The 26,288-nt window shown below is 53.4% G+C and overlaps 1 protein-coding gene and 2 long non-coding RNA genes across 5 annotated transcripts, besides 10 other annotated features; 2 read left to right on the top strand and 1 right to left on the bottom strand.

Annotated features, from left to right (window-relative positions):
• Nucleotides 710-1,216: an enhancer, noted in NCBI's record as "NANOG hESC enhancer chr2:45172898-45173404 (GRCh37/hg19 assembly coordinates)". NCBI's record gives its function as "activates a minimal SCP1, AML or CMV promoter by ChIP-STARR-seq in naive H9 embryonic stem cells {active_cell/tissue: H9 hESC(naive)}" and the evidence as "EXISTENCE:reporter gene assay evidence [ECO:0000049][PMID:30033119]".
• On the bottom strand, nucleotides 904-5,273 carry SIX3 (SIX homeobox 3). The gene is made up of 2 exons (NM_005413.4): nucleotides 4,065-5,273; nucleotides 904-2,407 (listed from the first exon to the last, which is right to left on the bottom strand). Exons 1-2 carry the CDS (start codon nucleotides 4,868-4,870, stop codon nucleotides 2,215-2,217), a joined length of 999 nt encoding a protein of 332 aa, NP_005404.1. The 5' UTR covers nucleotides 4,871-5,273; the 3' UTR covers nucleotides 904-2,214.
• Nucleotides 3,506-4,230: an enhancer, noted in NCBI's record as "H3K27ac-H3K4me1 hESC enhancer chr2:45169884-45170608 (GRCh37/hg19 assembly coordinates)". NCBI's record gives its function as "activates a minimal SCP1, AML or CMV promoter by ChIP-STARR-seq in naive H9 embryonic stem cells {active_cell/tissue: H9 hESC(naive)}" and the evidence as "EXISTENCE:reporter gene assay evidence [ECO:0000049][PMID:30033119]".
• On the top strand, nucleotides 5,097-6,821 carry SIX3-AS1 (SIX3 antisense RNA 1). 2 transcript variants are annotated; one of them, NR_103786.1, is made up of 2 exons: nucleotides 5,097-5,265; nucleotides 6,142-6,821. It is a non-coding gene; the product is annotated as an SIX3 antisense RNA 1 (long non-coding RNA). The 2 variants fall into 2 exon arrangements; NR_103785.1 differs by lacking the exon at nucleotides 5,097-5,265 and adding an exon at nucleotides 5,468-5,787.
• Nucleotides 5,313-5,839: an enhancer, noted in NCBI's record as "H3K27ac-H3K4me1 hESC enhancer chr2:45168275-45168801 (GRCh37/hg19 assembly coordinates)". NCBI's record gives its function as "activates a minimal SCP1, AML or CMV promoter by ChIP-STARR-seq in naive H9 embryonic stem cells {active_cell/tissue: H9 hESC(naive)}" and the evidence as "EXISTENCE:reporter gene assay evidence [ECO:0000049][PMID:30033119]".
• Nucleotides 6,608-7,107: an enhancer, noted in NCBI's record as "H3K4me1 hESC enhancer chr2:45167007-45167506 (GRCh37/hg19 assembly coordinates)". NCBI's record gives its function as "activates a minimal SCP1, AML or CMV promoter by ChIP-STARR-seq in primed H9 embryonic stem cells {active_cell/tissue: H9 hESC(primed)}" and the evidence as "EXISTENCE:reporter gene assay evidence [ECO:0000049][PMID:30033119]".
• Nucleotides 7,108-7,609: an enhancer, noted in NCBI's record as "H3K4me1 hESC enhancer chr2:45166505-45167006 (GRCh37/hg19 assembly coordinates)". NCBI's record gives its function as "activates a minimal SCP1, AML or CMV promoter by ChIP-STARR-seq in primed H9 embryonic stem cells {active_cell/tissue: H9 hESC(primed)}" and the evidence as "EXISTENCE:reporter gene assay evidence [ECO:0000049][PMID:30033119]".
• On the top strand, nucleotides 7,776-25,895 carry LINC01833 (long intergenic non-protein coding RNA 1833). Of its 2 annotated transcripts, NR_147194.1 has the most exons (3): nucleotides 8,087-8,152; nucleotides 11,537-11,695; nucleotides 15,498-15,854. It is a non-coding gene; the product is annotated as a long intergenic non-protein coding RNA 1833 (long non-coding RNA). The 2 variants fall into 2 exon arrangements; NR_147195.1 differs by lacking the exons at nucleotides 11,537-11,695; nucleotides 15,498-15,854 and adding an exon at nucleotides 23,396-25,895 and having other exon boundaries at nucleotides 7,776-8,152.
• Nucleotides 7,951-8,080: a silencer, noted in NCBI's record as "silent region_11434". NCBI's record gives its function as "represses an Ori minimal core promoter by ATAC-STARR-seq in GM12878 lymphoblastoid cells {active_cell/tissue: GM12878}" and the evidence as "EXISTENCE:reporter gene assay evidence [ECO:0000049][PMID:35858748]".
• Nucleotides 9,028-9,560: an enhancer, noted in NCBI's record as "H3K4me1 hESC enhancer chr2:45164554-45165086 (GRCh37/hg19 assembly coordinates)". NCBI's record gives its function as "activates a minimal SCP1, AML or CMV promoter by ChIP-STARR-seq in primed H9 embryonic stem cells {active_cell/tissue: H9 hESC(primed)}" and the evidence as "EXISTENCE:reporter gene assay evidence [ECO:0000049][PMID:30033119]".
• Nucleotides 9,075-9,154: a silencer, noted in NCBI's record as "silent region_11433". NCBI's record gives its function as "represses an Ori minimal core promoter by ATAC-STARR-seq in GM12878 lymphoblastoid cells {active_cell/tissue: GM12878}" and the evidence as "EXISTENCE:reporter gene assay evidence [ECO:0000049][PMID:35858748]".
• Nucleotides 9,561-10,094: an enhancer, noted in NCBI's record as "H3K4me1 hESC enhancer chr2:45164020-45164553 (GRCh37/hg19 assembly coordinates)". NCBI's record gives its function as "activates a minimal SCP1, AML or CMV promoter by ChIP-STARR-seq in naive and primed H9 embryonic stem cells {active_cell/tissue: H9 hESC(naive and primed)}" and the evidence as "EXISTENCE:reporter gene assay evidence [ECO:0000049][PMID:30033119]".
• Nucleotides 19,580-20,140: an enhancer, noted in NCBI's record as "OCT4-NANOG hESC enhancer chr2:45153974-45154534 (GRCh37/hg19 assembly coordinates)". NCBI's record gives its function as "activates a minimal SCP1, AML or CMV promoter by ChIP-STARR-seq in primed H9 embryonic stem cells {active_cell/tissue: H9 hESC(primed)}" and the evidence as "EXISTENCE:reporter gene assay evidence [ECO:0000049][PMID:30033119]".
• Nucleotides 25,896-26,288: the final 393 nt, after the last annotated feature.

Below are 26,288 nucleotides of genomic sequence, written 5' to 3'. Positions count from 1 at the left end.
TTTGGAAATTGGACTTTCAAGTAAAAGCAAGTTTTCTGAAATTACCCCTTTTGCTCCTCCTTGGGTGCAGGCCACCCTGGCCCAGAGCGGCAGATGCACGGCCAGCCAAGCCATCCCAGGGAATTGTGGGGGCCCCGGCCAGGGCATGGAGGCCTTGGGGCCAGTGGGAACATGGTTAGTAAGAGGTGGTGACTTTTTTGTTTTCATTTTAAAGTGTAAACCAACTCTGAAATGTCTTAGGGGCTCGAGAGACTCCAGCTGAACCCCAGAGATGGGAAGAAATTTCAGGGAGACAGATCGAGAGCCGTAAGGCAAATCACACTGTCACATAGACACACACTCAGGAGGTGAGGAGGGGAGTCCATCCTGATTCTAGACCCTAAACTCTGCAAGCGACCTCCTCCCTCACTCCTCCTGCCTTCCCCACTCAGGCCACTGTCCTCACCACCACCCCACCCCCCAAAAAGAAGACAAAACCTGTCAGCTCTACTCGGGATGGATGCTGGGGTTTGGCGGCCTTGTATGTTTTTCCTTTTAAAAAACAAAGCAACAACAACTGAAAGACGCCCAGCACACCCCCAAGGACCCACAGGGTCTTGGCAGGCTACAATTCCGGCTGAATGCATACTGTGGTGAAGTGGGCCTAGCTTCTGACTCTGAAGAAACTGGCGGTAGCCTCCCGCTCCCAACCCTTGAACCATCTTTGCCTTTTTGCTCAGGATCCAGCTTTGGCTCTTTTCCGGAGGGCCTGTTCTGGTCTTCCCAATGCCCTCAGGGGGGAAAAAAAATGCTGAGATCCAGCCTTGAAATTCTGCCCCGGCTCAGGTGAGCAGGAGTGGAAGTGAAGGCCGAGCACCCCGCGGCTGCGGGCCAGGGGCAGACAAAAACACCAGTCTCTGGGAGTGATAAGAAAATGGAGAATACTGTATTTGCTTTAGAAAGTTTTTACATATAGATAAACACGCAGTTTAAGATAACAGTAAAAGCGCCCTACAGGGAGTGAGAGATACCTCTGAAGCTGCTAAGAAATACTGGAAATAGCTTTTGCATAAGAATACTACAATCTCACTCTCCGCTTTTGCTAGCGACAGGGTCCCTCTTCCTAACCCAGGCCACCATGCCTCTCCTTGACTGCCAAGTCGACACCAGGAGCACCGAGTGGGAGGAGAACCCCAAAAAGAAAAGAGACAGTTGAGCGGGGAGAAAGACAGAGAGAGGGAGAGGAGAGAAAGAGAAAGGGAGAGGAGAAAAAGCAATATCATATACAGGCAATTTCTACACATATATTACAAACTGGGAAAATGACCGATCATTAAGATATACATAATTCATATAAAATTTTGAAATAAAAATAAAAATCTGTTACAGTCATAACTATTCTTTTTCCACATTTATAACCAGTACCCACACAGGCAGTGACAGAGTGGAGAGAAAAAGGTGCTTACGAAGAAAATGATTGTCTGCTGAACAAAAAACAGAAGATTGCATTTTTTTGACCAATACTTGACTTAAAAACAGAGAGAAGAAGAGAAAGAAAGAGAGCGAGAGAAAAAAAAAGAGAGAGAGAGCAACAAAAGGCAAGACACATTTGCTATTTCCCTCTCCAGGAGTTCTTTTTTTTTTTTTTTCCCCCTGTCCTTTTTTTTTTTTTTTTTTTTTTTTTTAACAAATTCGGAACGGAGACGGCGATTTTTTTTCTTTTTGTCTGTTTTGCTTTTGCCCTCTTGTCCTCGTGGTGGTGATTGATTTTTGTATAGTCGACTCTTTAAATCATTTTTAACTAGAGAGAATATTTTCCCAGATACAAATAAATCGTCATGCAGGTGGGGTGCCGGGTCCATGGGAACCGAAAGGAGAAGCCGTGCTTGTCCTAGAAAGTATACAATTGTCACCTCTTTTATGTTTTCTGCCCGCAACATCAGCGTTTGACTGTCTGTTGGCGTCGGGGTCCTTTGGGGTGGCCGTAGTGGTAGATGGTGGTTGGGGGTTGTTGATAGTTTGCGGTTAATTTGTTATTTTCTTGTTTTTTATATATTTTTGGCTGGGGTGGGAGTGTGTGTGGACTTGTATGTGTGTATGGTTGGGTATCCTGATTTCGGTTTGTTCTGGGGATGGAGGAGGAGAAGGAAGAGGAGGAAGAGGAGGAGGGCTAGGAGGCGGAGGGGAAGGAGTGGGGGAGGAGGGGAAGGAGAGGGAGGAGGGCGGCCTTGGCTATCATACATCACATTCCGAGTCGCTGGAGGTTACCGAGAGGATGGAGGTGCCGGTGTCTGCGCGCTCCGTCAGGCTGGACACGCTGGTGGTCGGGCTGGCCGCCGTGGACGGCGACTCTGCCGAGCCGTGCGTGGGGCAGCCGGGCTCGGCCAGCGAGCGCATGCCGCTCGGTCCAATGGCCTGGTGCTGGAGCCTGCGGGAGAAAGAGATCCGCGCCCGCCCTGACACAGAGGCCCGCCACCCGGCTCCCCCGCGCCGCCGCTCCCCATTCCGCTTTCGGGAGCATCCCAAGTCTTCTCAGATAGAGGCTGGCCTCGGAGGAGAGGCAGAACCCGAGCCCGGCCGCTTGGGGAGGCCTGGGTGCAAGCGACAAAGTACGCCAAGCCCTGGAGAAGCAGAAGTCGGAGAGGAGCCGGGCGCTTCTTCCCTCCGCAGTCCCTGGGGCTCTTCAAACTGAGCCGGCTGCCCCGCGACCGGTCGAGTTCCCCTAGTAACCCCGTCCCTGCTCCCTCAAACACACACCGGGAGCTGCGGGTTCCCCACCGCCCGGCCAGTCTCCGGGTAGAACTGCATACTTTGCTCTCTGGATGCCAGCGCAGAGCGCAGGACCGAGGGTAGAGAAAATAGGAAAGCTGGCGGTGGAAAAGTGGGGAAAGAGCAGGGAGACAGAAAAGGGGCAAAGGAGAAGGCAAGAGAGGCGCACAGAGCAGTCTCCAGCTGCCCTTTCCCCCACCGGGAACCTTCTGCCTGGACCTGGTGTCTGGAATTCTCTCCACAAGGAGGCCTTGGCTTGACCCTGGGCGCTCCCCTCATCAGACGAAAAGTGGGCTCCACGGCAGGGGTGAGAGGGCCATGGGCTCAGGTCCCGGCCGCCTAAACTCGAACACACCTCCAGAAACTCACACCCAGCCCCCACCCACGGGCAGCTGTCAGCAGCTGGGGGTCCTGCTCCCTGAAGTACACCAGGCCCTGGGCCTTCCTGGCTGGATAGAGAAAGACACAGGCTCCACATCAGGGCTTTCACCCAACTTCCTCTTTTCTTTCTCCCTTCTCTCCCCACTCCTTTCGCCTATCCACTTCTTTCCCTCTGGTTCTTTTTCTCCTTCCCCCAGGCCCAGCTCCTGTGATGTTGGTCAAGCCCTATACAATTTTGTGACTTTGTGGCCAACTTGCCGGCAACGAGGCTGCTCGTGCCCGCTTCCCAGCTTAGAGGACCAAAGGGATTCTCCTCGGCTGAAACAGGAGGGCGAGTACATGCACACGGGCGTGCACACACACACGCACACGCACACGCTAGGCCTCTCCACTCCCAGCCCGGCTCTCCTGCTCCCGGTCAGGCAACGTGCAGCGTTGCGGGGAAACAGGCCCGCTGCGCAGTGGCCTCTGGCCTTTTCCCCTTGTGATAGGGACCCAGGTTCACTTTCCTCTCTCTGACGCTAGTGGATTTCTCTCGGGGTTTTGCAACGCACAGAAATAAGAACCAGATGGCAAAGAGTGCTTTCCTTCCCTCCCTGTCTCTAGGCTCCAGAGGATCGCCGAGCTGGCGGCAGGGCTGAGGAGGCAGGCACGGGTGCAGCGCAGGGCTAAGTCTCCCAGGGGCTGCGGGTACTCGGGTCGCAAGCACACACTCTCTGCCCTGACGAAAGCCCCTCTTGGTCAAAGCAATCAATACACCCACAGCCAGCCCGGCCCCCTCTTCCGCGCGTCCCGGACAAGCGGAAACTTTCTCCGACTGGCCAGGAGTCACGGCTTCCCTGGCTCTCAGCGGCCGCTCCGCTAGCCCCATCTCAACCCCTCTCCCCTTCCCAGGCCTCTGAGGCTGTAGCCAGGCCGCGGGCCCCGCCACTAACCTGTTCTTGGCCGCCGCGGCGCGGTCGCGCTGCCGCCGGTTCTTAAACCAGTTGCCTACTTGTGTGGGAGTGAGGCCGGTGGCCTGCGCCAGTTCGCGTTTCTTGCTGGGGTTGGGGTAGGGGTCCTGTAGGTACCACTCCCGCAACAGGCTCCGAGTCCGCTCCTTGAAGCAATGCGTCTTCTGCTCGCCGTCCCAGATGGTGCGTGGCAGCGGGAACTTCTTGCGCACGCGGTACTTGTCCACCGGGCCGAGTGGGCGGCCGCGCAGCTTCTCGGCCTCCTGGTAGTGCGCCTCGAGCCACATGGCCTGCAGCTTGCCGTGAGACTCCTTGGTGAACTTGTGGTTCTCAAGGATGTGGTAGAGGTCGCGGAAGTTGCCCGTGTGGAAGGCGACCACGGCGCGCGCGCGCAGGATCGACTCGTGTTTGTTGATGGCCTCGCACGCCCCGGGGGCCACGGGCAGCGACCAGAGGAAGCGGCCCAGCCGCTCGATGTCGCCCGTCTCCTCCAGCGTCTCACAGACGCTGGCCACCTGCTCCGGCGAGAAGTTGAGGGTGGGCAGCTGGAACATGGACAACTCTTCCGGGGGGGCCCTGGAGCCGCCGCCGCCGCCGCCGCCTGCTCCGCCAGCACCGCCGCCTCCCGCACCGTTCCCGCCGCCGCTGCCGCCTCCCGCGCCGCCGCCGCCTCCCGCACCGTTCCCGCCGCCGCTACTCGCCAGAAGTATGGAGCGGTGGTGAGAATCGGCGAAGTTTGGCAACAAGAAGTGGGAGGAATAGAGGTCTAGGGGGGAGCGGAATACCATGGACTGACCTGAGAGGAGAGGAGAAAATTCAGGGAGAGGAAGAGAGAGGGGAGGAAGAGGAGGAGAGGGGCGATGAGGACCAGGAGGAGGGAGAGGAGAGGGGGGAGGAGGAGAAGGAAAGGAGGGGGGAGCAGGAGGAGGAGGGAGAGGAGGAAGGGCGTAAGGGACACCCACACCCCACACACATCCACACACACACACACCCGCGCAGCCACATAGAGAGGGAGGTAGGAGAGCGGCCCGGTGCGCGCGCGCAGAGAGAGAACCCGAGACAGAGAGGGAGAGGGAGAGGGAGAGAGGAGAGGGAGAGCCAACCACCGCCGAGTCAAGATTCAGCGATTCCACCGCAATCGCCCTAATGACAACAGCCTCATAATATCTCCCCTAAATCCACAGTGAGTGCAGCATTGAAACATTTTGTTTCGCTTTTCTATTGGTCTGTGGCGTGTCGTTGTGGCGTTGCCACGGCAACCACTGCCAATCACTGTCAGCCCTGCCAATCAATACCGAGAACGTAAGGACGGTTTTACCACTTAGCCAGAGGGCGGGGGGAGGGGGAGAGCAGGGAAGGAGGGAGAAGTGGGGGGATAAAGAGAATTTTTTTTATCTTTGCAACTCTTAATCTCGCTACCTCCCCCTCCTCTCTTCTCTCTTCTCCCTCTCTCTCCTCTTTTCTCTACCGCTGTCTCTGAGACTTCTTCTTCCCTTTTTCCTAAAGAAGTTGATCCAGAAATTCGAAAAGCCCTGGGCAGAGTTGTTGAATGGGATGTGCAATTAGAGAGGGGATTTTGTTGGGAGGCAAGAGGGTCCCCCAGGCTCCACATAGTCCAGGTCGGCAGGCAAGGAAAGACGGCTGACCAGCCCAGCGGGCGCGGTTTGCACATGGTTTGCACGTCGGGCCGCCTCTTTCTGCCTATGTGAGCACTAATAGTGGCAAGGAAGAAAGGAGAGATGAGATCATGGGGCCCACCAAGCACCGACCTTGGCCCAGCGGGCCGTGGCGCCAGCCGGGGATCCCGGATTCCGAGGGTATCTGGCGCCAGGGAGCCTGAGCCCAATTCCCAGGGTGCTGGAGGCCGCTCTTGCCTCCCCCATCGGTGCCCATGGACCGCATTCACCTCAACTCCCTCTTCATCAATTAGGCTTCTCTTTACTCCCTCCCCGGCCAAGGAGCCTCGATTTCCCCCACCACCCTGTATTTTAAAATAACAGTCCAAACAGTACACTTCTTTCCATCTTAAGAAGCAACTCAACTCTTTGTTTCTTCCCAGAATTCAGCTGCCTCTCTGAGGAGTGGTGGAGGAGCTGCGGGAGCCGAGAAGCCCAAGAGCCCTCTGGACCCAGAAAAGTCCTACAGATGCCCACTCCTCACCACACAACAGAAGGAGCTCTGGTCCTGCCTGCCAGCCCCAGAGGGCACTCAAACTTTGGAGGCCAGCCACCCGGATGAAGTGAATAAGGCCTGAAAATTGCTTGTTTGCTCGTATTGTAAAATAATAATAATTACCATTATTATTTTTAAACTGTCTAATTTCTCTAGGGAAAGTAACATCGAAAGCCTAAAACAGACGCCAAAAGGCCCATAGAACACAGAGGGCCCTCTCTGCCTCTGGCCACCACAGCCCCTAGGCCAGGCATGGGTATTTATTCTTAGGTATGTTGCTTTTAAGAAGCTGTAATCAGCATCTTGAGCCGGGCCTCCCTTTGTGAGGCTTCTGTAACTATGGAAGTGTGATTTACGCAGATTTGTCGGGGTCAGAGACGTCTTTCCCTGAGCACTGTGTATATTTAGACAGGACTCGGTTTGGTGTTAAAAAGTGTATATGTTGAATGGATTCACACACAGTAGCCAACAATGACCACATTGTCGGCCCGTGTACAACGCGTATTGAAACGCAGCGCCCAGACTTCAACTAATCTGCCCTCAATAAAGCTGAAATAATTATCCTAAGCTGCCTTTCCAGAAGAAAAATCATTGAGGAATTCAAAACTTTTTTTTTTTTTTTTTAAAGATCTTTTCTGCATTCCGATGCAGATCTGGGGGCAAGGCGCCGTGTCCACACCACTTTGGTGATCTCAATGAGGGAAGAGAGAAAGAGAGGTTGAGAGAGAATTTAAATGGGAAACCTAACGTGACTGGGGCTGTGAGTGTCCCAGCCCCTAAACCCCGAGCTGGAGCCCTGCTTAGGCCTTGACTCCCGCAGTGCCAGGCCTCTGAGGGCCGGGGAGAAGAGCAAGCCGACAAGTGCAAGCCTCCTTGGAGGATTCCGGGCGGCAGGGAGGCCCTGGGTCCGGCGAGGGGCCAATACTGGCTCACTTAGCCAGAGACAGCCGTGGGGTAGCAGGTCTTCAACACGACGACTGGGGCAGAAAAATATTCCTCCAAAGGGAAGACCTGCCAAGCCCCATTTCAGTGCTCTCTCCACTCCATATATATTTCCTCTCCTCCTGGCCATGAGTCCTTCTCCACGCAGCTGAAAGCTCTGGGCGGTCATTCACTGAGGGCCCAGAAAGAGCCCAAAGGTTGGGACACAAAAACAGACACTTCATGTTTTCTTCCCGATCCCTTTCTCTCGTAGGGGAAGGATTATAGGCTGAAGGGTGGGAGGGGGAAGGGGCAGGAGGAGGAAGCGGGGGAGGAAGGAATGAAAAAGGGGAGGGGAGTGGGTATTGTGCCGCGTGTGGGGGGAGAATTCCTACGGGTGGGTTTCCGAATATTGTGTTCAACTTTTTGAAAGCAGCTCGTGACCCCGAAACTGCATCCCCCGGAGCCGGGGACCCAGGCGCCGGGCGGGCGGGTGAACCCGGTCAGTCCCCTCCCCGTCCCCGAAACCCCCGCCTCCGGGTGGTGGCGACCTGGCCTCTCCCTGCCACTGCCCGGCCAGCCCCGGAGGGAGGCTGGGCAGGTGCTGCGGGCTCTGCCGAAAGCGCTGAAATAAAAAACCATCGCCACTCAGGGAGAACTGAGGCAAGTGGGGCTGAGACTCTGGCGACACCCCCGCCCCCCAGCCTCTGCCCCAGCGCCTGCCGCCCTGCCGCCCTGCCGCACCCCGCCTGCTTGGGTGGCGACCGCGGTTCCGGAACGCGAAGCAGGGCAGAGGGCTGCAGAGAGGCGTGTAGCTTTGTGCGCCAGGACCCGGTGGGGCAGGTGGCAGCCCCGGGCTGTCCGCGCCTCCCAGCAGAGCCGAGCTCGGCGCCGCCCACCGAGCCCACCTCGCGGTCCAGCCGCCGCCAGCGCCTTTCGGCTCTGGCCTGAAGCAGTACTCCCGCCTCCTGGAGCGGGTAAGTTGAGAGTCCGGAGAGCAGGGCAGGGAGGCGGGGCGGCTGGTCCCAGAGCGGAGGGCCGGACTGGCTCCCCGCCGGGCTGGGGGCGCAGGCTCCATAGGATCTCAGTCGAGGGGTTCTGAGTGCGTGTTTGGGTGGGAAGCAGGGCTGTGGAGCGCCAGAGCTTCCCCTCCCAAATTCCCAGGCGCTGGGCACTGGGGAGTGGAGCAGAAGCAGAGGGACCTTGGGTTCCGGGGCCCAGCGGCCTTCCACGCTGGTCTGGGAACCAAGCAAGCCCTAGGGCAGTGCGAGGACTGGGAAGGGACCCTGGGGGACCGCTAGAGGAGGTGGCGCGTGGAGGGCGCCTGCACCCTGGGGTCGCTCAGAGCGGAGAGTCTCGGGTGGATAGGTCAGCTTGCAGATCCTCTAGGTCTCTTCTCTGCTCTCTGGCCGCTCTGATTGCGGGATCTGGGACTTGGCGCCCGTACAGGCCGGGTCACCTGTGCAGAACAAATTTGCTGCCATCATCCCCGCTTCAATCCTGGCCCCGGCGATCTAAAATATCGCCTTCAGGTGGGGCAGGGAGAAAAGATGTCTTTGGGGTTTAAATAGTGTTCTCCTTGTACCCGGACCAACTGGCATTTATTTACAAATGTCACCCGCCACCCCAGCACTGGGAAAGTCTCAACCACATCTGGAGAACGCCCGAGAGACCTCCCACTCTCTCCTTGTTTTGGGTTACAGGGAAAGCCAACGGGTCTGCAGGCCTCCGGGAGACGAGGATCCGGAGGGTTGGGGCAGCTGCACCCACTTGGCCTTGCTCAGCTCTAAACAGCCGACCAGGAGGCCGGGGGAAGGTTTGCCCTGTGGGGGCAACGCCCCTTCCGGCTCCCAGGATGTCGGGAGGCGGAGGCTGGCCGGGTGGCCCGTAGTCTGGGCCTCCCCGCAAGCTGCAAACTGAGGCGCTTGGCGCGGGCGGCCAGGGAGGGCGCAGGGGAGCGCAGCACGCAGGCGGGGAGGCCGCGAAGCCCTTCAAGGACCCCGATTACTTTCCTTTGAAAAACAACAACAACAACTGCTCCCTCCCCGCACCCCCGCCCCCCGCCTTAGCCTCCGGGGACTGGCGCTCCAAGCAATTGTCGCCCCGGACAGTAAACACAGCTCAGTTGCCTCAACTTTCTCCATGCATAAAAGTTCCTGGCGTGCGGGGAAATTTGAATATTTGATCAGCCCCTTTGAGTGACCCTCATTAGTCCGGCGCCCTGCTAAGGCCGGGCATTGCAAGAAAGCTGCTGGGCTCGGCATTTGTACGCCTTGTTAGCGCAGCTTAATGAAGCCGCCCCGACGGCTCAAAGGCGGCCTCAGGGGCCGGCGACGCGCACCTCTCGGCACCCTGCTCTGCCTAATGAGCCCCGCCGCCCTCTAAAGGACCCTCCACCCCCCACATTCTGAAACAGGGGAAGTTTGGCTCTGTCTTGAACCACGGCACCTCCCACTGCCAGGCCCAGGAGGGTGGGCACAAACCCAGCCTAGCTGCCTGCAGTTACCCATTCCCAAGAGAGAGGGGCTGGAGAGTTGGGAGGTGTGAGCCATACTGGTTGGGGGCAGTGCAGGGAGGGGAGCGGGTGGCAGGAGAGGCTTTTGCTGTCTCAGGATCCAGCCCAGGGAGTGCACTGCCAGCCTCTCCCAAGTGGACCAATTGCAAATCAATTAGTCACTCCAGTTCCTTAAAGGTGCATCTGGACTAATGCTGGGGTGGCTGAGGGTCAGCCTTCCATCCTCCTATCACCTTAGGTTCCCTTGGCTTCCACTGCCCAGAGGCCACACACTTCTTCCCAAGGTTCCCCTTCTGAACAGCCAGACCTGGTGTGCCAGGACTTGGATTTGAGAAAGGGTGGGCAGCTCCCCTCCCTAACCCATCATTGCCTCCACCATTCACAGAGCCCAGTCACATGTTATGACAAGTGGCAGTAGGGAAGGCAGGGGACCACAGCCCGTCCTGCACTCCCCCTCAACAGAGGTATCCCTTCTTTGGCTTCTAGTCCCAGGGAGGCCTGGCAAAAAAAGTGCTATAGGCAAGACCACCCTGCAAGACTGGCCTGGCAGCCTGGCAGAGAGGCAGAGAGCCAGAGCCCTGGAAGGAAGGGAAACCAAAGCAGTCATCTACTTCACCTTTTCTTAGTGGGGCAGCTGACATGGCTGGCCAGTAAATATAAGACACCCTCTTAAAAATTGTGCTTCAGTCCTCAGGAAGTGTAGCCTTCCTTCCCTTTCTGTCTCCCCTCTCCTCTGATGCCCTTTTCCCTGGACAGTCGGAGCTCAAGGTCCTTCACTCCCTCCTTGCATACACAGCTCTTGGGCCCTTAAGGGTTACTTTTGGGGGGAATTAATGCTCTGGGCTTGGGAAGCAGGCTGCTCCAAATCCACACTCAGGACTTTCTGGACCCCACCCCCCAACACACAAACACAAACATGCCCAGGATCCCTCAGACACACAGTGGGCCTGGTCAGGTTGGTAACCTCAGGACCCCGTGCCCGCGTGAGCGTCTCTGGGAGGTCGTGGAAAGGAACCAAAAGGCCAGGTAGGCCCTGGGATACAGAGAGCCCTCCAAGTCCATCTGGTTTGCTTCTCTTCCTTTCTCTCTCCCTAGCTCCGCTAGCATGCCCTGCCCCATTTCCCATCACATAACCCCCTAACTTAACCCTAAACTGGCAATCTTTAGGCATCACCTCTGAGCTGGGCAAAGGCGGTGCCCGGGCCTTGATCGACCCAGAGGGCTAAAGTAGGGGCGGGGAAGGGAGGGGTGTGCGCTGCTGGTGAGAAAGGGGACCTGAGGCGAGGGTAGAACTCAGCCCTGTGGCCTCGAGGCCAGGCCCACCGGCTGCTCAGGGGAGGAGGCGAGGGGAGGGGGCTGGGAGTCCGCAGGCATCGGTCGGGGCAGCAGGGACCTCAGGCGTCGGCGTGGGGGGCTAGATCCGGAGGAGAGGGGAGGGGAGGCGGGGGTCGGGGGATCGCGCAGGGCGGAGGAGGGGTGCAGCTCTTTAAGAGCCACACGGCTGGCAGGAGAGGCGCGCGGCCCGGTGCTGGTAGAGCACTGACCCCGAAGGGGATTTAGCGGGAAGAGAGTGGCCGGGCTCTGGGGGTTTTGTCCGAGGGGGCCGGGAGAGGCCGAGACACAAGAATAAGGAGCGGCCGCGGCATGAAAGGCGGCGAGGAGAGGCAGCACTGCTGCTCTTGACTTCTGAGCAGGGCTTAGAGAGCCTGCCCCGGCTTAAGCCGAGCTGCTGGTGCTGACCCTGAGCGCCGAGTCCGCGAGCTCTGAGTCCGGAGCCTCCCAGCCGTGGAGCCGTGGGATGAGGGGGGCGTTGGGGGACAGGGCAAAGTCGATCTTGGTTGTACAGCCGCCCGATCCTAGCGCGGAGCTGCGAGCCTGACCGGCCGCGTCTGGCATGGTCAGAGAAAGAATTTTCTTTTCCCAACTCCGGCTTTTGGTTTTGTGTGTCCACCTTGCGCAACTCCGGAGCCAGCCGACCCCACATGGATTCTCAACAGGTGGCCGGGTAAGTCCGTTTAAAGAATTCTGGTTATATGGTCAGCCCCTCCCCGACCTTCTTCCTTTTCCCCTCCCTCTTCCCCCTTTGGCTGGGCCGGGTTCCCCGTGCTCCTCCCGCAGGCGACGGCTGGGGTGGTGGTGGGGGAAGAGGCGCCCTTCCCCTGGGGGTCTCTGGGCTCCGAGTTGCAGCCCAGGAAGCCTGGCGGGCGGCCCCCAAGGAGTTCCACCCGGTACCCCCAAGTCCCGATCACTCTTAGCTCCTTGGTCTGGGCCCTGGCGCCCTGAGAGGGGGAGGGAGAAAGAACGCGCAGCAGCACCTCAAAAGCCGAAGTCCCCGGGAAGGGGGACAGGGGACCCGGTGGCCGGGCAGCCTTTGTGTGGGGGTTTACGGCGGAAACAGAACTATTCTTCTTGTGTGAGAGGCCCGGGATGTGGCCAGGGGGAGCCCGCGCCAGCCGTACAATAGCCGGCAGAAGAGCGCCTCAGCAGCCGGGGTAGGAGTGGGGTAGGGTGGGGTAGACCTGGGTGGGGGAGGGGAGGGCGAGAGAAGAGGGAGGGGAAGCAGAGAAAGGCAAAGGCGAGAAATCCAGGGCGTCCGAGTGAAAAGTCGGAAAATGTTTCCAGAGCGCGCCACAAACAGGCGCGCGCGCGCGCTTGCGGGCGCATAGTCTCTCTGTCTCTCTCTCGCACACACACAAACACACTCTTACATGCTCACACTCATTCCACACATGGAGCCCACGCACGCGGTTCCTAGTCGTGCAGGGTCGCATGCCTGGGCACCCAAAGTGAACGCAGAGTAGAGCCGCCCTCCCACCCCCACCAACGGAGAGCCCTCCCGCCCAGCCACAGGCTCCCCGACTGGGGAGCTAGGAGGGCCCCCGGGGCTGGGGCACAGGGAGGATCTTACCTGCCGAAAGGTAAGGGAAGCCGGGAGCACGGAGCAGCGGCGGATAAATATTCATTAGTAAGTCTCTCCTTTTAAGCCGCGCGGTGCGCTCTCTGGCTCCTATCTCTCTTTCCCTCCCTCCCTCTGTCCTCTTGTGAGCCTCTCTCCCCCTCTCGCTCTGTCTTCCCCCCACCCCTTCCTGCGAAATGCCGGGTGGATCCCAGTATAGCTAACCTGTTGGGAAGCCTGAGCCGCGGGCAGCGCCTCCACAGCTGTTTGCTTTTGCTCTTGGGGCGCGCGTTTCCCCATCCTCTCCCCTCTCTCCTTTTGCCCAGCCCCTCTCCCCCTCCTAAATTACTACATCATTAGCTTTATTTGGTGGGGGGACAGCTCAGCCAAACGCACCTCCCTATAGCAGGGTGAAAAGCCGCTGCTCCCCGAGGCAGCCCCAACTCCACCCCTACCCCTGCCTCACCCATCTCCATGTCCCTACCCAGTTTTGTTTATTTTTCTTCTCTCTTTCCATCTTCACTTCCGTCCTGTACCGACCCAACTCCCTTACCATTCCTCCCTTCCTCGTCGCTGCCAATACGGATCCCAGACGGGGTCGGGGCAGGGAGATGCCAAGTGAGTAGGTCCAATATGCCAAGGTCGGGACTCCACCCTGCCATGGGCGTGGGGGTAGTCCTCCAGGTCCCCCTTTCCCACGTAGGCTTTCCACCCTGACCCTAAGTGGGTACCGGGGCAGCTTGGGCCTTGGGATCAGAGCACCAGGGCGCACAGCAAGGGCCTCAGCCCTCCAGGCCTCAGCGACCTGGAGCCTGGGTCCTTTGACCCGGTCTGGGAGACTGCATGGCGGAGGGGAGGTGGCTTCACTTTGTACGAATGCTCAGGAGAGACACAACCACCGACCATCGGACTGACGTTCTCCCTTTTCAAACAAACTGACCTTAAGTCAGCAGTAAGTCTGCATCATTCTCACGAGAAAACACATCTACAAGATTCTAGAAATGCACAAGGAACCGCTTCTAGTCGCGCGTGAACACGTGCACACACACCACACCCCTCACCCCCACACACCCGAGGCCACCGTTCCCGCTGGCCTCTGAAACCTGTAGGCGCGCAGGCCCGAAAGGCTAATTCTAGCGGAGGAATACATCGCAAAACCGCCCCAGGAGAGCCCTGGCCACTCTTGTTGGCCCCCATTCTTCCAGATCCAGGCCTCTAGGATGCCCCAGGGACCCTGAAGGATGGTGAGGCCCCAGGGTGCTTGGGGGTGGTCCGGGAAGCTCACTCTGGCAGCCCGCTGAGCGCTGCGTGTTGAGGTAGGAGCTGGAGGAGGGGCCAAGGGAGGCGGGCCCAGGCCAATTCCAAGTTACAAATACAGCTGCTCCTGCGAGGCCTAGGAGAGTTTTGCCCCAAAACGTGCATATCATTCGCCCCGAGACGCCATGACCTCCCCAGACATAGCCCCAGGGCGCACTCGACCTCGAGGTGGCTTGGGTGATGGGAGCAATCGAGAGCCAGGAGACGACCTCGAGACCTCCGCCCGCCCATTCAGCCCGGCCCAGCCACAGTCCACCGAGAGACGCCCTAGATGATGGTCCTATCCTTCCCAAAGGGTGGCAAGGCGCAGGATCGCGGAGGGTCTCCCTCCTTGTCCTGAAAGGTTAAGAAATTGGGCAGATGAAGGTATTTAAAAGAGGCCTAGAGGGCCCTGGGGCCGAAAGCCCTATCAACCTCACACTCCACCCAAAGTCCCGCGTTTGCACGTGCACACCTCCTTCTCCCCATGCAGACCCAGGGGGTCGCGCACGTTTGAGCTCAGACTCAAGCTGAGTCACCTGACTATGCCTGGAACGTACAGGCAATCGTACCGAATACACATGGGAGAATTAAAGGAACACTACGGGAGAATTAAAGGAACACTAACAGGAATTTGAGGAATAAAGAAGTGCCCACAGGCATAATTATTTGAATACACGGGTGCACACCCTGTTGTCCAGATGCAGACAAAAGCCACAGTGCCTGCGAGGAGTGACCCCAACCACAAGGGCAGATGTACAGGAAGCCGTGAACGGGAGAGTTCGCCGAATGAGGACGCAGGCCGCAAGGCCAAGGGGGCTTCCTGCTAGAGGGACGTTGGCTCGGAGGGAGAAACTTTGTTGAGCCGACTGGGTGAAAGGTTTCAGGTCAAGTCCTGGCCACTAGAAAGAACCAAGGCCTCATCCACTCAGAGCCAACCTTTTAGCCTTCCTCTCAGCTCTGTTGGAGATACCCAGAAAAGGACAATCCAGGAAAGATTCATTTTGACCGAGATTGTTTTTATTGTTTATTTCTTATTATTTTTGACCTAGGGGTTTGCATTCTGAAAAAGGATTTGGGTGGCGCGTATGCAAGTTCTCACTCACTGCTGGGAGATTCATAATTCTTAATAGGAACATTCAGCTCTAACCATGGCCTGAGAAGCTGGAGGGCCCTTATTTTGCCCCTTTCACCCTTCTTATCCTAAACTTGATCATTCAAAAGGATCCACACCCTCCTGCCCCCAACTCCACCCCAATACCCTGTATGTCAGATATGTTTGCAGAAGAACACACTTCAAAGTAAACCAAATTACATAGTTTATTTAAAAAAATTTTTTGTGATATATTGGGAAGTCCTCACCCCCTGCTCCCCTGTCTCTGGCTGAGCACGGTGTCCGGGCGGAGTTGGGGGGTTGCCAAGAGGAGTTTCCAGAGTGGCTCTTGGGCAAGGCCTGAGAAACTACTCTACATAGGCTTGTTTTTAGTGTGAGCTCCCTTTGCCTAACCAGTTCTAGTGGCTACCTCCCGGTTTCCTGCAGAAGAGGCAGGCTCCCTGGGAGCAGGGGCGCCCTCGCTTCCACTTCACCTCCTTTCCTAACTTTCTCTCTTTTGAGCACATCTTCTGAGCCTCGCTCTCTCATCTGAAAGTGGAGTGTAAGTCCAAGAAGATTCATTTAGACAAAGAAGGTGGAAAAAAAGGACTTTCTGGGCCAGCAAGTCGGATGACCACCCTCCAAGGGGCAGAGGAGGGCCCATTTTGTGAAGAAGAAATCAACTACCCGGAAAACGCCACAGGAGGACATGTTTCTGCAGATGTAGTTGCCCTAGAAACAGAAGAGTATGGGGGTGTGAATGTCTTCTCTTTTGGGGGCAAACACTATGTCCTTTTCTTTTTCTAGATACAGTTAATTCCTGGAAATTTTAGCGAGTTTGTTCTTGTGGATATTTTGAACAATAAAGAGTGAAAATCACTTTGGAGTCACTTAATCTTCGTTAGAAGGGCAGTTTCTTCCAGGGCCATTTTCTTTCACCAGATTTGTTTTTCCTCGTTCCCAAATGAGGTAGTTTTAAAAATCAAAGTCCACTTGCTAACTCACCTGGGAAAGAGACTGCGACAGAAGGAAGAGAAGTAAATAGACATCACTCTCAAACTAAAAGTGTAACTTTCATTCCTGGCAGCTGAGATTCAGAACACAAAGAAACAAACTCGTTTACCTTTGAGTATTTCCCCCGTTTGGGTAATTTATCTAGAGCTTTCCCAACAATTAATCACAGCATCTTGAAGTTGGAAATGTATGCTATTATTTTCAGCCTTACAAGGTTCGTCAAACTCTGCTTCTCTGGTTTTAAAAACTGTTTGCTTCTACATAGCTATGCCCGTTGCAACATTTATCACTCAAGCAGAAAAGCAACTCGTTTTCTCACAGCCTCAAATGCCCCGTGTACAGTCACTGGAGCGAATTTATTTTTCTCTGTCTTTCCCAAATGCCCTTGTCACCTCTGCCAGGGCCACAAGACTCGGGGCAAAACTTCGGAGGTTTGAGACCTCTTGAGTGTGTGGATCGCTATTATTGTTAGTTTTTTTGTTGGGAGAAATCGTGCTCGGTGATCGCGTGCGGTTGTCTCTCTCTAAGCCGACTAGGGTTGCCTGCGCCTTCCTCAGCAGAAACTCCTAGAGGAAGCTAACCATTTCCGCTGCCCGGGGCAAAGGGCTGAACGGTGTTGTCGGGTCTAGGGTTGGGGTGGGAAAGTGAGGACGGTATGCGGATCGGGGAGGGGGCAGTCATCATCTTCAACAATAAATTAAAATAACCTGATACCCCTTTAATCCCTTCCATCAACAGTGTCAACGCGCTAGAGAGGCCGTCTCACCTCCAAAGGTATCTTCACTCCCGGAGGGCCCGGGCTCCCAGCCGCAGTCCCACACTGGGCCCGCGCGCCGGATACGAGGTGCTCCGACGGCAAAAATCCCATACATTTTTAACTACAGTGATTACTAAATTAATAGCAGGCACTAAGACAGATGTCAAAACGTCTTGAAAATGTTTATCTGTGAATAATTGAGAAGGTGGTGGGACGCATTATCTGATTGTGTAATGAAATATGTATGAGGAACAGCTGTTTGCAACAGTCCCCTCCCGCCGCCTCCTCAGCCAAGGCCCTTCTCTAGGAAGCAGGAGTCGCGGCGAAGTTGGTCGCCTACTTCCGTCCACTTGGGAGCCCTCGCGGCCCCTCCCCGGCTGCTGGCAGAATGGTGGCTCCAGCGCGCCCCAGAGTAGTCCGGTTTCCCGACGGACAACAGCATGGAGTCCTCCTCAGCCTCGCTCTGTGGGCTCCGTGCCTGAGTGAGGCTCCACCGCCGGCCGCGCTGTCCCTCGCGCCTTCGGGGCCGGCCGCGGGCTCGGCCTGCGGGGACCGAGGGGAGCACTGGCCCGGGCGGCCGCGGAGGCCTGACGTGCGCCCACCGGGCGGTGCGGCCTGCTCGGAGGCGAGGCCCGGGAGCCCCGCGGCTCAGCGGGGCGGGCCTGGGGTCACCGAGGGGTGACGGGGCTCCGGAGAGGGCTTTGTTCGCGCTCTCGCCACACTGCGCACTTCCTTCCAGCCCCCTGCGGCCCCCACCCCAAACCTCCGCGCCCCCGCCCTGTTTGTTTTTCCAGCCCCGCGCCCTCCACCCCAACACGCAAACAGCCCTCGGGGCTGCGTCAGCGGCCTGAGGCCGTGGCCCAGGTCAGGCCTGAGTCCAAATGGGGCCAGCACGGCGAGCCCTGGCCCCGCAGGAAGCGGTGTGAGGGGGAGAGGGAGCTCCAGGGCCTTCCTGGCGCGAGAGGGGCAGGCGAAGGCCGGGGGGAAGGTGGTCCAATAGGGCGCACGGCCTGGGCGGGCGGCGAAGGCCCGAGGCCTGGGCTCGGAAGGGTGCGGGCGGCCTGCGCGGCTGCCCAGCCCCTGCCGCTGTCCCCAGCCCCAGCTGGACAGGGGAGGCGCGGCGGAGTGGGGGTGAGGAGGACGCCAGGAAGGGCCCCATCGGGCCTGGGCCTTGAAGGCAGTGTCACCCACATGGACAAACCCGGTGCCCCGTGCGGGTGTGGGGACCCCCTCGCCGCCTTCCCTGCGCTTCGCCCCGCCCGGAGACCGCGTCCCGGGCGCGGCGCTTCCCGAAGCTCCCAGCCGGGCCGTGGCTTGCCCGCGTCCTCCGCCTCCACGGCCTCTCGGCCCCTCATCTTCCCCAGCTCCGGGGACCCGTCCCTAGCCCCTGACGCCCGGGAAGCCTGGCTCCGAAACCTTCGGCCGCGTTGGCCTTCCGGCGCCGCTGTCCCGACCGCTCTGGGGCCGGGGCCAGGGCCGGGAGCGGAGGAACCGAGTCCGGCTTTGCGGCCCCGTGGCGCCCCGACACCCTGCGCCTTCGCAGTCTCCCTAGGCTGACTCAGTCGAGATGCGCTCGGGCGTTATGTCTGGAGCGTCGCCCTTTTACCTAATCCCTTATGCTTTTATTCTAATCCTACACATTACAGTTAATCTGTAATGATACCGCTTTGGAGGAACCTGTTGCATACGAGGCTCGGCAATTTGTAACCTTGGAAACAGTTTTAAATAAAGATTATAAGAGTGATGTCAACTGTGTTTATTCTCCACGCGGGGGGTGGGTTGGGGGCAAGGCAGCCCCTCGGCGGAGAGGACGGAGTTTCGGGAGAAGGGGTCGAGGCGCGAGGGGCAGGGCGGAGCGGCGGCCGGGGGTCGGGGAGGCGGAGGAGCAGCCAGAGCTGGCTCTAAGTGACTCCAGCCCGGCGCCTGGCATCTTTTGAGTTTTTCTTTTTGGGAAATCGCGTGGTCTTAAACCGCGAGGCATGGGGAGAGGGAAAAGGATTTGCAAAACTGCGGAAAACTCGGTGAACTTGCGCTCCTGTGTATCCCAAATTAGCATTCAGCCGGGCCCTGCGCGCCTGGATCGCTGAAGCTGCGCAGAGAGAAAGAGCGGCTTGCAGGACCCTTGGGCTGCAAGAAGGCAGAGCTGCCTCGGTCCGGTTGCTTTGCGCTTCGAGCTTCCTACTCTGCTAAGCGCACTGGCAACAGCAGCAACAACCAAAAGTTGCCGGCACACCAAAAGCAAAATTAAACATAATTGCTTTTATGTATCTATTGCTTTTATATCATTAAAATATTTTTAGTTACATTGTGTAAAATGGCATCCACTCTGATTATTACCTGCCATATCTGTTGATCTGCTCCTTGTGTATGCAGCATAGCAATATTAACAATTAAGAAAAAAGCACATCATATATTGTATCTGTCAAGATATGTTACAATTTCCATTAACAAAAAAACATCATTCTTGTTGAAGAAGCTATGAAGCATATCTTTCACAAGCACTTTATTAATAATCATAGTTGTCAAAAAGAATTAGATATGCATAGATTGTAGATGCAAAGGAAATATTAGATGCACAGAATAAAATATACAGTGGGATTGAGGCATAACTATTTTTCTTTTTTAAAGTAAATTTTACCGAGGTGAAAAAAACCTGTGCTATTAAGCTTACTTAAAAGGTGGCTTTGTTGGTTTAATTATACTGTGGTTATTTTATAAATATGTTTCAAAGGAAGCTTGCCATATTGCATGTCAATGAGGACTGTAAAGAAAAGCTCACAAAAGCTAATGCATACCAAATACCAAATTTTACTCATTAGCATTCCTATTTATTACAAACTAAAGGAACCTATTAACAGACAAGAATTTCTATTTAGCTAGCATTACATGTTTGGCTATTAAAATAAAAAGGGCAAAGTATATATGTATTTTTCCCCCCTTGGAACTGTATGTTCTTTTTTTCCCCCCTAAAAGCTTACGGAAAGATTGGGAGATGTTTCTGATTGGGGAAACTCGATTCTATTGTGGGAATGGGCCAGAGGGCCCAGAACACCTCGCTTTAGTGGTGCAGCTTAATGCTATTCATTCGGAAGCTAGAACCGTTCGGCGCTGGGACTCTGCAGCCTGCGGAGGGCTATGTAGTGCCCACAGCCTGTGAGTGGCCCTTTGTCTTTAATTTGTGTCATGAGCATATGCAAATTATTAATTGTTTTTCCTCGAAGGGAGGGAGTGGGTAGTGATGGTAATACTGCTTTTGTTTGGATATTAAAATTTCCTTAAATGCTCCCAAGGCGGGGATACTTCTCCCAATGCGGATTCCCCTAGTAGAAAATCCCACCGCTACAGTGAACATATGGGTATTAATTCTAGAAACATGCACATGTAGATTTGTATCATTTCAAAAACTTTCTTTGAACAAAGGTGGCATTTCTGCTCTCACAACAGAAGTAAATGAATATAGAAATTTATTTTTTCTGAATCTCAATTTAAGAGGGGAAAAAACTTTTCAGCTATCCTTACTTTTAGAAACTTTATATTTTTCTTCTTAAAATTGAAGCAGATTTCCCCCCCCCCCCACCCAACTGGGCAGGGAAACAAATACATTTTAAGGAACTGAAATGAAATATTTGAAATAAGAAAGTGTTACTATGAATTATGTTAAGTGAGTTTTGTGTATTTTTAAGGGAAAAAATAGAGCTTGTTAAACTCTGCGCATTTGCCAAGTGACTCGAAGCACAGGTTCTTCTGGCCTGACATTTGGCTCTGACAGGATGTATTCTGCCTGCTTGGGGGACTCTGCTTTAAAAGATTGAAAATTTTAAAGATTCTTCCCTGAAAGGCCCACATGAAAATAATAGGCGTCACAAGGAAGGAAGGGAATTTCTGAATCCCTGATTTAAAAAAGAAAATCTCTTCATCAAAAGTCATTAACATGTGCGGATCTCATGCAAAATCTTAGATTTCAATAGCAAAATTGGCTGTGTGGGGTTGGTGGGGCTAGGTATTCTCTCCCCTGTGACCACCTAGGCAGAAACAAGAGAGGGAAGATAGAATGATTCCTACACCAAACTCTTCCCACTGCGAAATAGTATAAGTTACTGTAGTAGGAAAGAAGCTTGGATTCCTCAAGTCTGGCAACTGCAGAGCAAAATGTGAATGTTCTCCATTTCTCTCCCACTATATCTGGATGCGGTGTCAACTCCCAAATCTCTAAAGCATATTTGATACAGAGGTGGGGAAAATGGCTCTGCCAGCAGAGGCTGCATCTACACAATTGTTTGGATAATTCAGCTCCTATTCCTCCAAATTAACCAGTCTGATGTTGCCTGCATGACACCCAGATTATCCGGATGGACTCATCCACTTCCTCCCCAACCTACATCGTTGGTACAACCTTCATTGAATGCTGAATCCAGACACTATCAGTAGCCAAGGAGGAGAAGGCTGCTTCCCATGTATTCACACCAAAGTGGTTTAGATCTCTACGTGAGTGAGAGATAACCCAGTTTTCAGTGCCTTAAATCTCATTTTAAAGAGCAGACTAGGAAAGACTATCTCAGTGATGCAGAGATAAGATAGAGACCCTTTTTTCAAGGAACTAACACTTGTTGTGGAGAAAGATGTACCCAGTTCAGGACAGCACAGAACAATGCTGCTTTATGGGTGTCTTGGTTGGAAGCACACAGGGAAGCATGGGAGAAACCTTAGAAGGAAGAGATGGGGTTTGAGCTGAGCCATAAAGAGTGTGATTCTAGATGGCAAAGAGTGTGACTTCTAAGCAAACTTGCTATCTAGGTAAGATATTATGTCAGGTCTGACATAAGGTAGGCATTTAAAAGTGCCTACTTGAATGAATGAATACGTGAGTGAAGTTATGTGGAAGTCTGATAATAAATTCCTCTAAACATTTCTCCTTAGGATGGCCTGTCTGCAGTGTTAACCTGAAATTTGCTTATTTATCTCCCACTTTAATGTATCTTTCCACTCCTTCAAGGACAGGGGAACTCAGTTTGAAACTGGGAATGTCTAGAGCTGATTAAATGATGCCCATTGCTCCCATGCAGTGGGTGAAGTTTCTTGCTCAGAGGAGACTTTTCCATGGGCAAATGTTCCCTAAACTGATGTCCTGTTTACATTCTTGCAAGAATGAGGGGATTACTGCAATTCTAAGCAGTTTTGTATTTTAAACAAATCTTCTTCTTGTGGTAGCAATTTAACATTTTGTTTGAAACATCCCAGAATGCAAAATGGTTAAAGGGGCCTTGTTAGGTTTTTAAATAGAGCAGAGAAGAATCCACTGTAAACAGCTTCTGGATTAAAAACAAGGAAACCTGCTACTGCCACTAATTAGTGGGTAAAGTAGCTCACCCAAATCAGCTTTGCTTTTTCTCACTGAAAGAGACAATATTGGCTACCCTTGTCTATACGACACAGTTTTTGTTTTTGTTCTTTAAAGACAAAACAATGGGAAGGTAGGTTTTTACATAGCTCTAGCCTCAAGCAATTACAGGATGCGTGTGATATTAATCAATTATGAACAGTTTCTTTTCACACCAGGGAACAGATGCTTATTAGCTTGAGCTTTAAGATACAAATTTTAAAATTACAGCAACTAAGAAAATAAAGAATACTGGCACAATGAGAAATCTGCACCCATATTGTCTTTTCTTTAGAATGTCTTTTTATGCTTTAGTAGCTTTTTGGGTCTGGGACATACATTCCACGCTGGGACACAGCAGAGATTTGCTCTTCGGAAAGTGCCTTAACTGAGTAAAGTGCTGCCAGGCTGTATTATGGGTCCTGCCTCAAGCGGAACATTTCACATCTCATTCTCTCTGGAGGATCTCTTCCACTTTTCCCTCACCTCCACCTCTGATCCAGAGATCTGGCTTTCATCTTCTCCTTTTCTCTCTCCTAAACATGCCACCGTTTCTTCCTAAACTAAACTTGTTGACATGAAAGTCAACAAGTTGAGGGCAATTCAATTTCAGTAATAAGCAGATGGCTTGTGAGTTCCCGAGACCCAAGTAAAGGCCCTTCCATGGGAAGCACCTAATTTAAAAGGAGGAAACACCAAGAATTAAGAACTCTGCAAGGAGTGTGGCTGAAGAGGAGCTAGCTTCCAATCCCTCCTTCCTGCACCATCCCTCCGAGTTCATCTGAGGGAAGCTCACTTTCCCAAGAGCCCATCTTTTCCTGGTTGTAAAATGTGTTCATTTCCAATGTACACAGGCTAAACATATGGCAGAACAGTGTGAAGAGGGAAGTGTGTCCATTAGCACATTCAGGGACAGAGTCTGAGATGTACATTCAACAAAGGGCTTCTTGTATCTGAGCCCTATACCACAGCATTGCACCAATGAAAGCCTAACTGACCTCAGTTTGTATGGGCAATGTGCGTGCGTGCGTGCGTGCGTGCGTGTGTGTGTGGTATATTTCACAAGGCCAGACAAATTCAGGCTACTCTGTTAAAGTCTCTTGGTATGAAGGAGGAAAAAAGTATTGGATGACCTCGTATGTGTTAAAGAGGAGGAGGAGCCCCCAGAGATTAGAAAATGAAGAGGGGCTGGAATTTTATTTTAATTAATCTCACATTCCATGGAGAGCTTTTCTGAGAATATGATCTTCTTTCCCATTTACTTCTCTGCAGGAAAGTCTGGAGACTCACCAAGCTGAGGAGGAAGAAGGGAACATCTCAACCCAAGCTGAATTCTGAAGAACACTTGGCCCCATCTTCCAGAAATCCTAAATCACATAGAGGGAAAGTTTTGGCCAGGGCACCAAGAATGAACCAGAAGCTGAGTCCATTACTCCAATTTTCACATTAACCAGGAGACACATTGAAAATTCTTTTCTTGAGTGAGAGACTGAAATTTTGGCTCAAGGGTGTTTCTGTTGGGTCTTCTCTTTATATGGCATGTGAGGACTGCATCCCACGTCACATCTGCAGCCACTCCCAGATTACACTGCAAGGGAGGGTAGATTAGGAGTGGGTAGGGAGTAGAGGGGTCTGTAGACACAGCAAAAGCAGCAAGCTGGTGTGGGAAAACCCAGAAAATATGTCTCAGAGACAGCCAGTGGCTGCACATACAAAAGGAAGGCACCTACCTGGAAGAGAAGGGGTTGTGAAGTTCTGCCCAGAGTCACAGCGCTGACGTCCTCAGAAGGTCTCCAGCCCTCTGCAGCAATCTATAGTATGCATCAGTATGGTTGGAAAAGCTTCTTCTATCAAGTTTAACAACTTTCTGGTGTAACTTCTGAGAGGGCTGATTGCTTATTCATGCGGAAGCAAGACGCCCAGTTCATTTTGCCCGTTTTTGCTACTCTTTGTTGGGTTTGGGAGGCTGTTATGGTAGCTGCAAATGGCTTCTCAAGTGACATTTGCTGACATTCAGTGAAGTACATTTATCAGTATTCGCCAGCTCACCTCTACACATGCAATCCATTTTGTTTTGTTCTTCATAGCAAACTCCTTTCCGACACCCGTGCCCTGAAAATGATAAATGGCAAGGTGGCATATTTCTGAAGCTGCACTCAAGTGTCACTGTGAAAAATCTTTAATGGACTAAGTGTAGCTTTTCATGTTACAGCTTGTCAGGTACTGAGAAATTCTAGAGTTTGTCTTTAATCCTCAAGTCTTTGGAACCACACTTCTGCAAGCAGAGACTAATTATAAGCTGCACCACTCAGACCTGGGCAAGCAGAAACCAAGGAGAAAACATTTGATATCAGCAAATTCTTTATTATTATTATTATTATTATTATTATTCTCATTCCATTTTTGCTCCTTCCTTTCCTACTCAAGATATTTGAGGCATGAGCAATCTGTGACTCTAATTAAGGGGGTGACAGCCCCAACCAGGCCACCATGCAGGCTTATAATCCACTCATACACCCAGCTTTCTCCATAATGGCTTTATTCTTTTCCTCCAAGGTTCAAAATCACCATGACTTCTCCCCCACAAAAAAAAAAAAAAAAAGAAAAAGAAAACTGACTCTGAATCATAAATCCTGGCTCCCAAATATTGGCCATAATTGGGTAGGTGAGATGTATCTTGTATGTCTGGGTGGAAGAGGCTCCTTTCTCCCTGGTGATTCATTTTCAGAACACACGGCCATCCTTCCAATGGCTTTGAGTTTCACGTCACCACCGGAAAGACCTGCCAGTTTCTTCCTGTTTGTGTGCCTGTCCACTGCCATCATGCTACTCCCAGGACTATGGCTTCTGGGCACTCACTCACCCTTCAACATGGCTTGTTCACTCCAGTTCTCCCTTTCCAAATGTTCTCAATCCCCTGGGCTGTGCGCCAAGGGGGATTCAGCCCTTGCCCACCGGCTATGGTCTGAATGTTTGTGTCTTCCCCAGATTAATATGTTGAAATTTAATCACAAATGTGATGGTGTAATAAGGTGGGGACTTTGGGACTTTATTAGGTCATGGAGGGGGAGCCTCATAAAAAAGGCTGCCTTGCCCCCTCCATCGTGTAAATCACCATCTGTGAACCAGGAAATGGGCCCTCACCAGACACCGAATCTGCCGGTTCCTTGATCTCGGACTTCCCAGTCTCCAGAACTGTGGGAAACACATTTCTGTTGTTTATGAGCCACCCAGTTTAAGGTATTTTGTTATAGCAGCCCAGATGGACTAGGCCACCACCATAGTCAGGGAAGAGCTGGCTGATTTGTGCGTGTCTGCGCTGTGTCCCAATGAAAGCACAATAATCAATGAACATTGATTCTGCAATCGATGTTTGAAGGTCAAAGGAGTTGGGAAAGGGGGTCTCCTGAAGCCAAGGAAAAGCATTGTACTCCCCAAAACTGTGCCAGCCAGGTTAACTTTTTGCGAGATGCTACAGATTGAGATGCTTTAGTTTTACTTCTGGCTCTTTAAGCCCTACTCAAGCTCTAATTTTGATATCTCGTTCTAGACGCCTTAGTTTGGGCCCCTCCCAGGCTCCCTTCTGTTTTTGTTCTTTTTTTCTAACATCATCCTTGGCTTTTCTTCTCCTTTAGGTTTGATCTCCTGTCTCTTGGGTTGAGAAACCATCCCCTCTGACTCCTGGCCCCCTGTGACCCCTCCAAAGCCCCCTGTACAGGTCTTTGGCCACACAGAGATTCAACAGTCTAATAATCTAAAATTGTAAATGCCACAATTTGTGTGCGTGTTTACTGTGTCTCAGTTTTGAGTTCTTTTTGAAATCTTTTAGTTATTCCAGAAGGGATAGGATAAAGAGAAGAAATCAGTTATACTCCCAGTGGCCAGGCATGGTAGGGCAGAAAGAGTGTTGACACTCACTACCCCTGCAGGGGGAGAGGGCAGAGGACCCAGGTTAACTACCCAGAGATGAGATGGATCCTGGTCTAACTCAGGCCCTGGGATACCTGCACCAATTGCTCTCAGCAGGTCGAGACATCACAGAAGAAGAGAAGACATGTCAACTCTCTACAATAGTGTCTTAGCCCTGGAGATACTATTGGAGAGTGACAACAGACAGCAAACAGGGTTCTATTCATAGTGGCCATGGTTTCCCCAAGCAGAGAAC

The sequence above is a fragment of the Homo sapiens genome, chromosome 2 (assembly GCF_000001405.40).
Source record: "Homo sapiens chromosome 2, GRCh38.p14 Primary Assembly".
NCBI classification, from domain to species: Eukaryota; Metazoa; Chordata; class Mammalia; order Primates; family Hominidae; genus Homo; species Homo sapiens.
Note: the sequence above shows the minus strand (reverse complement) of the source record. Positions and strands in the feature narration are given on the sequence as shown.

What these genes read in the sequence shown, in the direction of transcription:
- SIX3 (NM_005413.4), bottom strand. Translation starts at nt 4,870, where the DNA reads ATGGTATTCCGCTCCCCCCTAGACCTCTATTCCTCCCACTTCTTGTTG. An exon ending in GCCGCGGCGGCCAAGAACAG is followed by an intron (nt 2,408 to 4,064) that starts GTTAGTGGCGGG and finishes TTTCTCCCGCAG; the next exon opens with GCTCCAGCACCAGGCCATTG.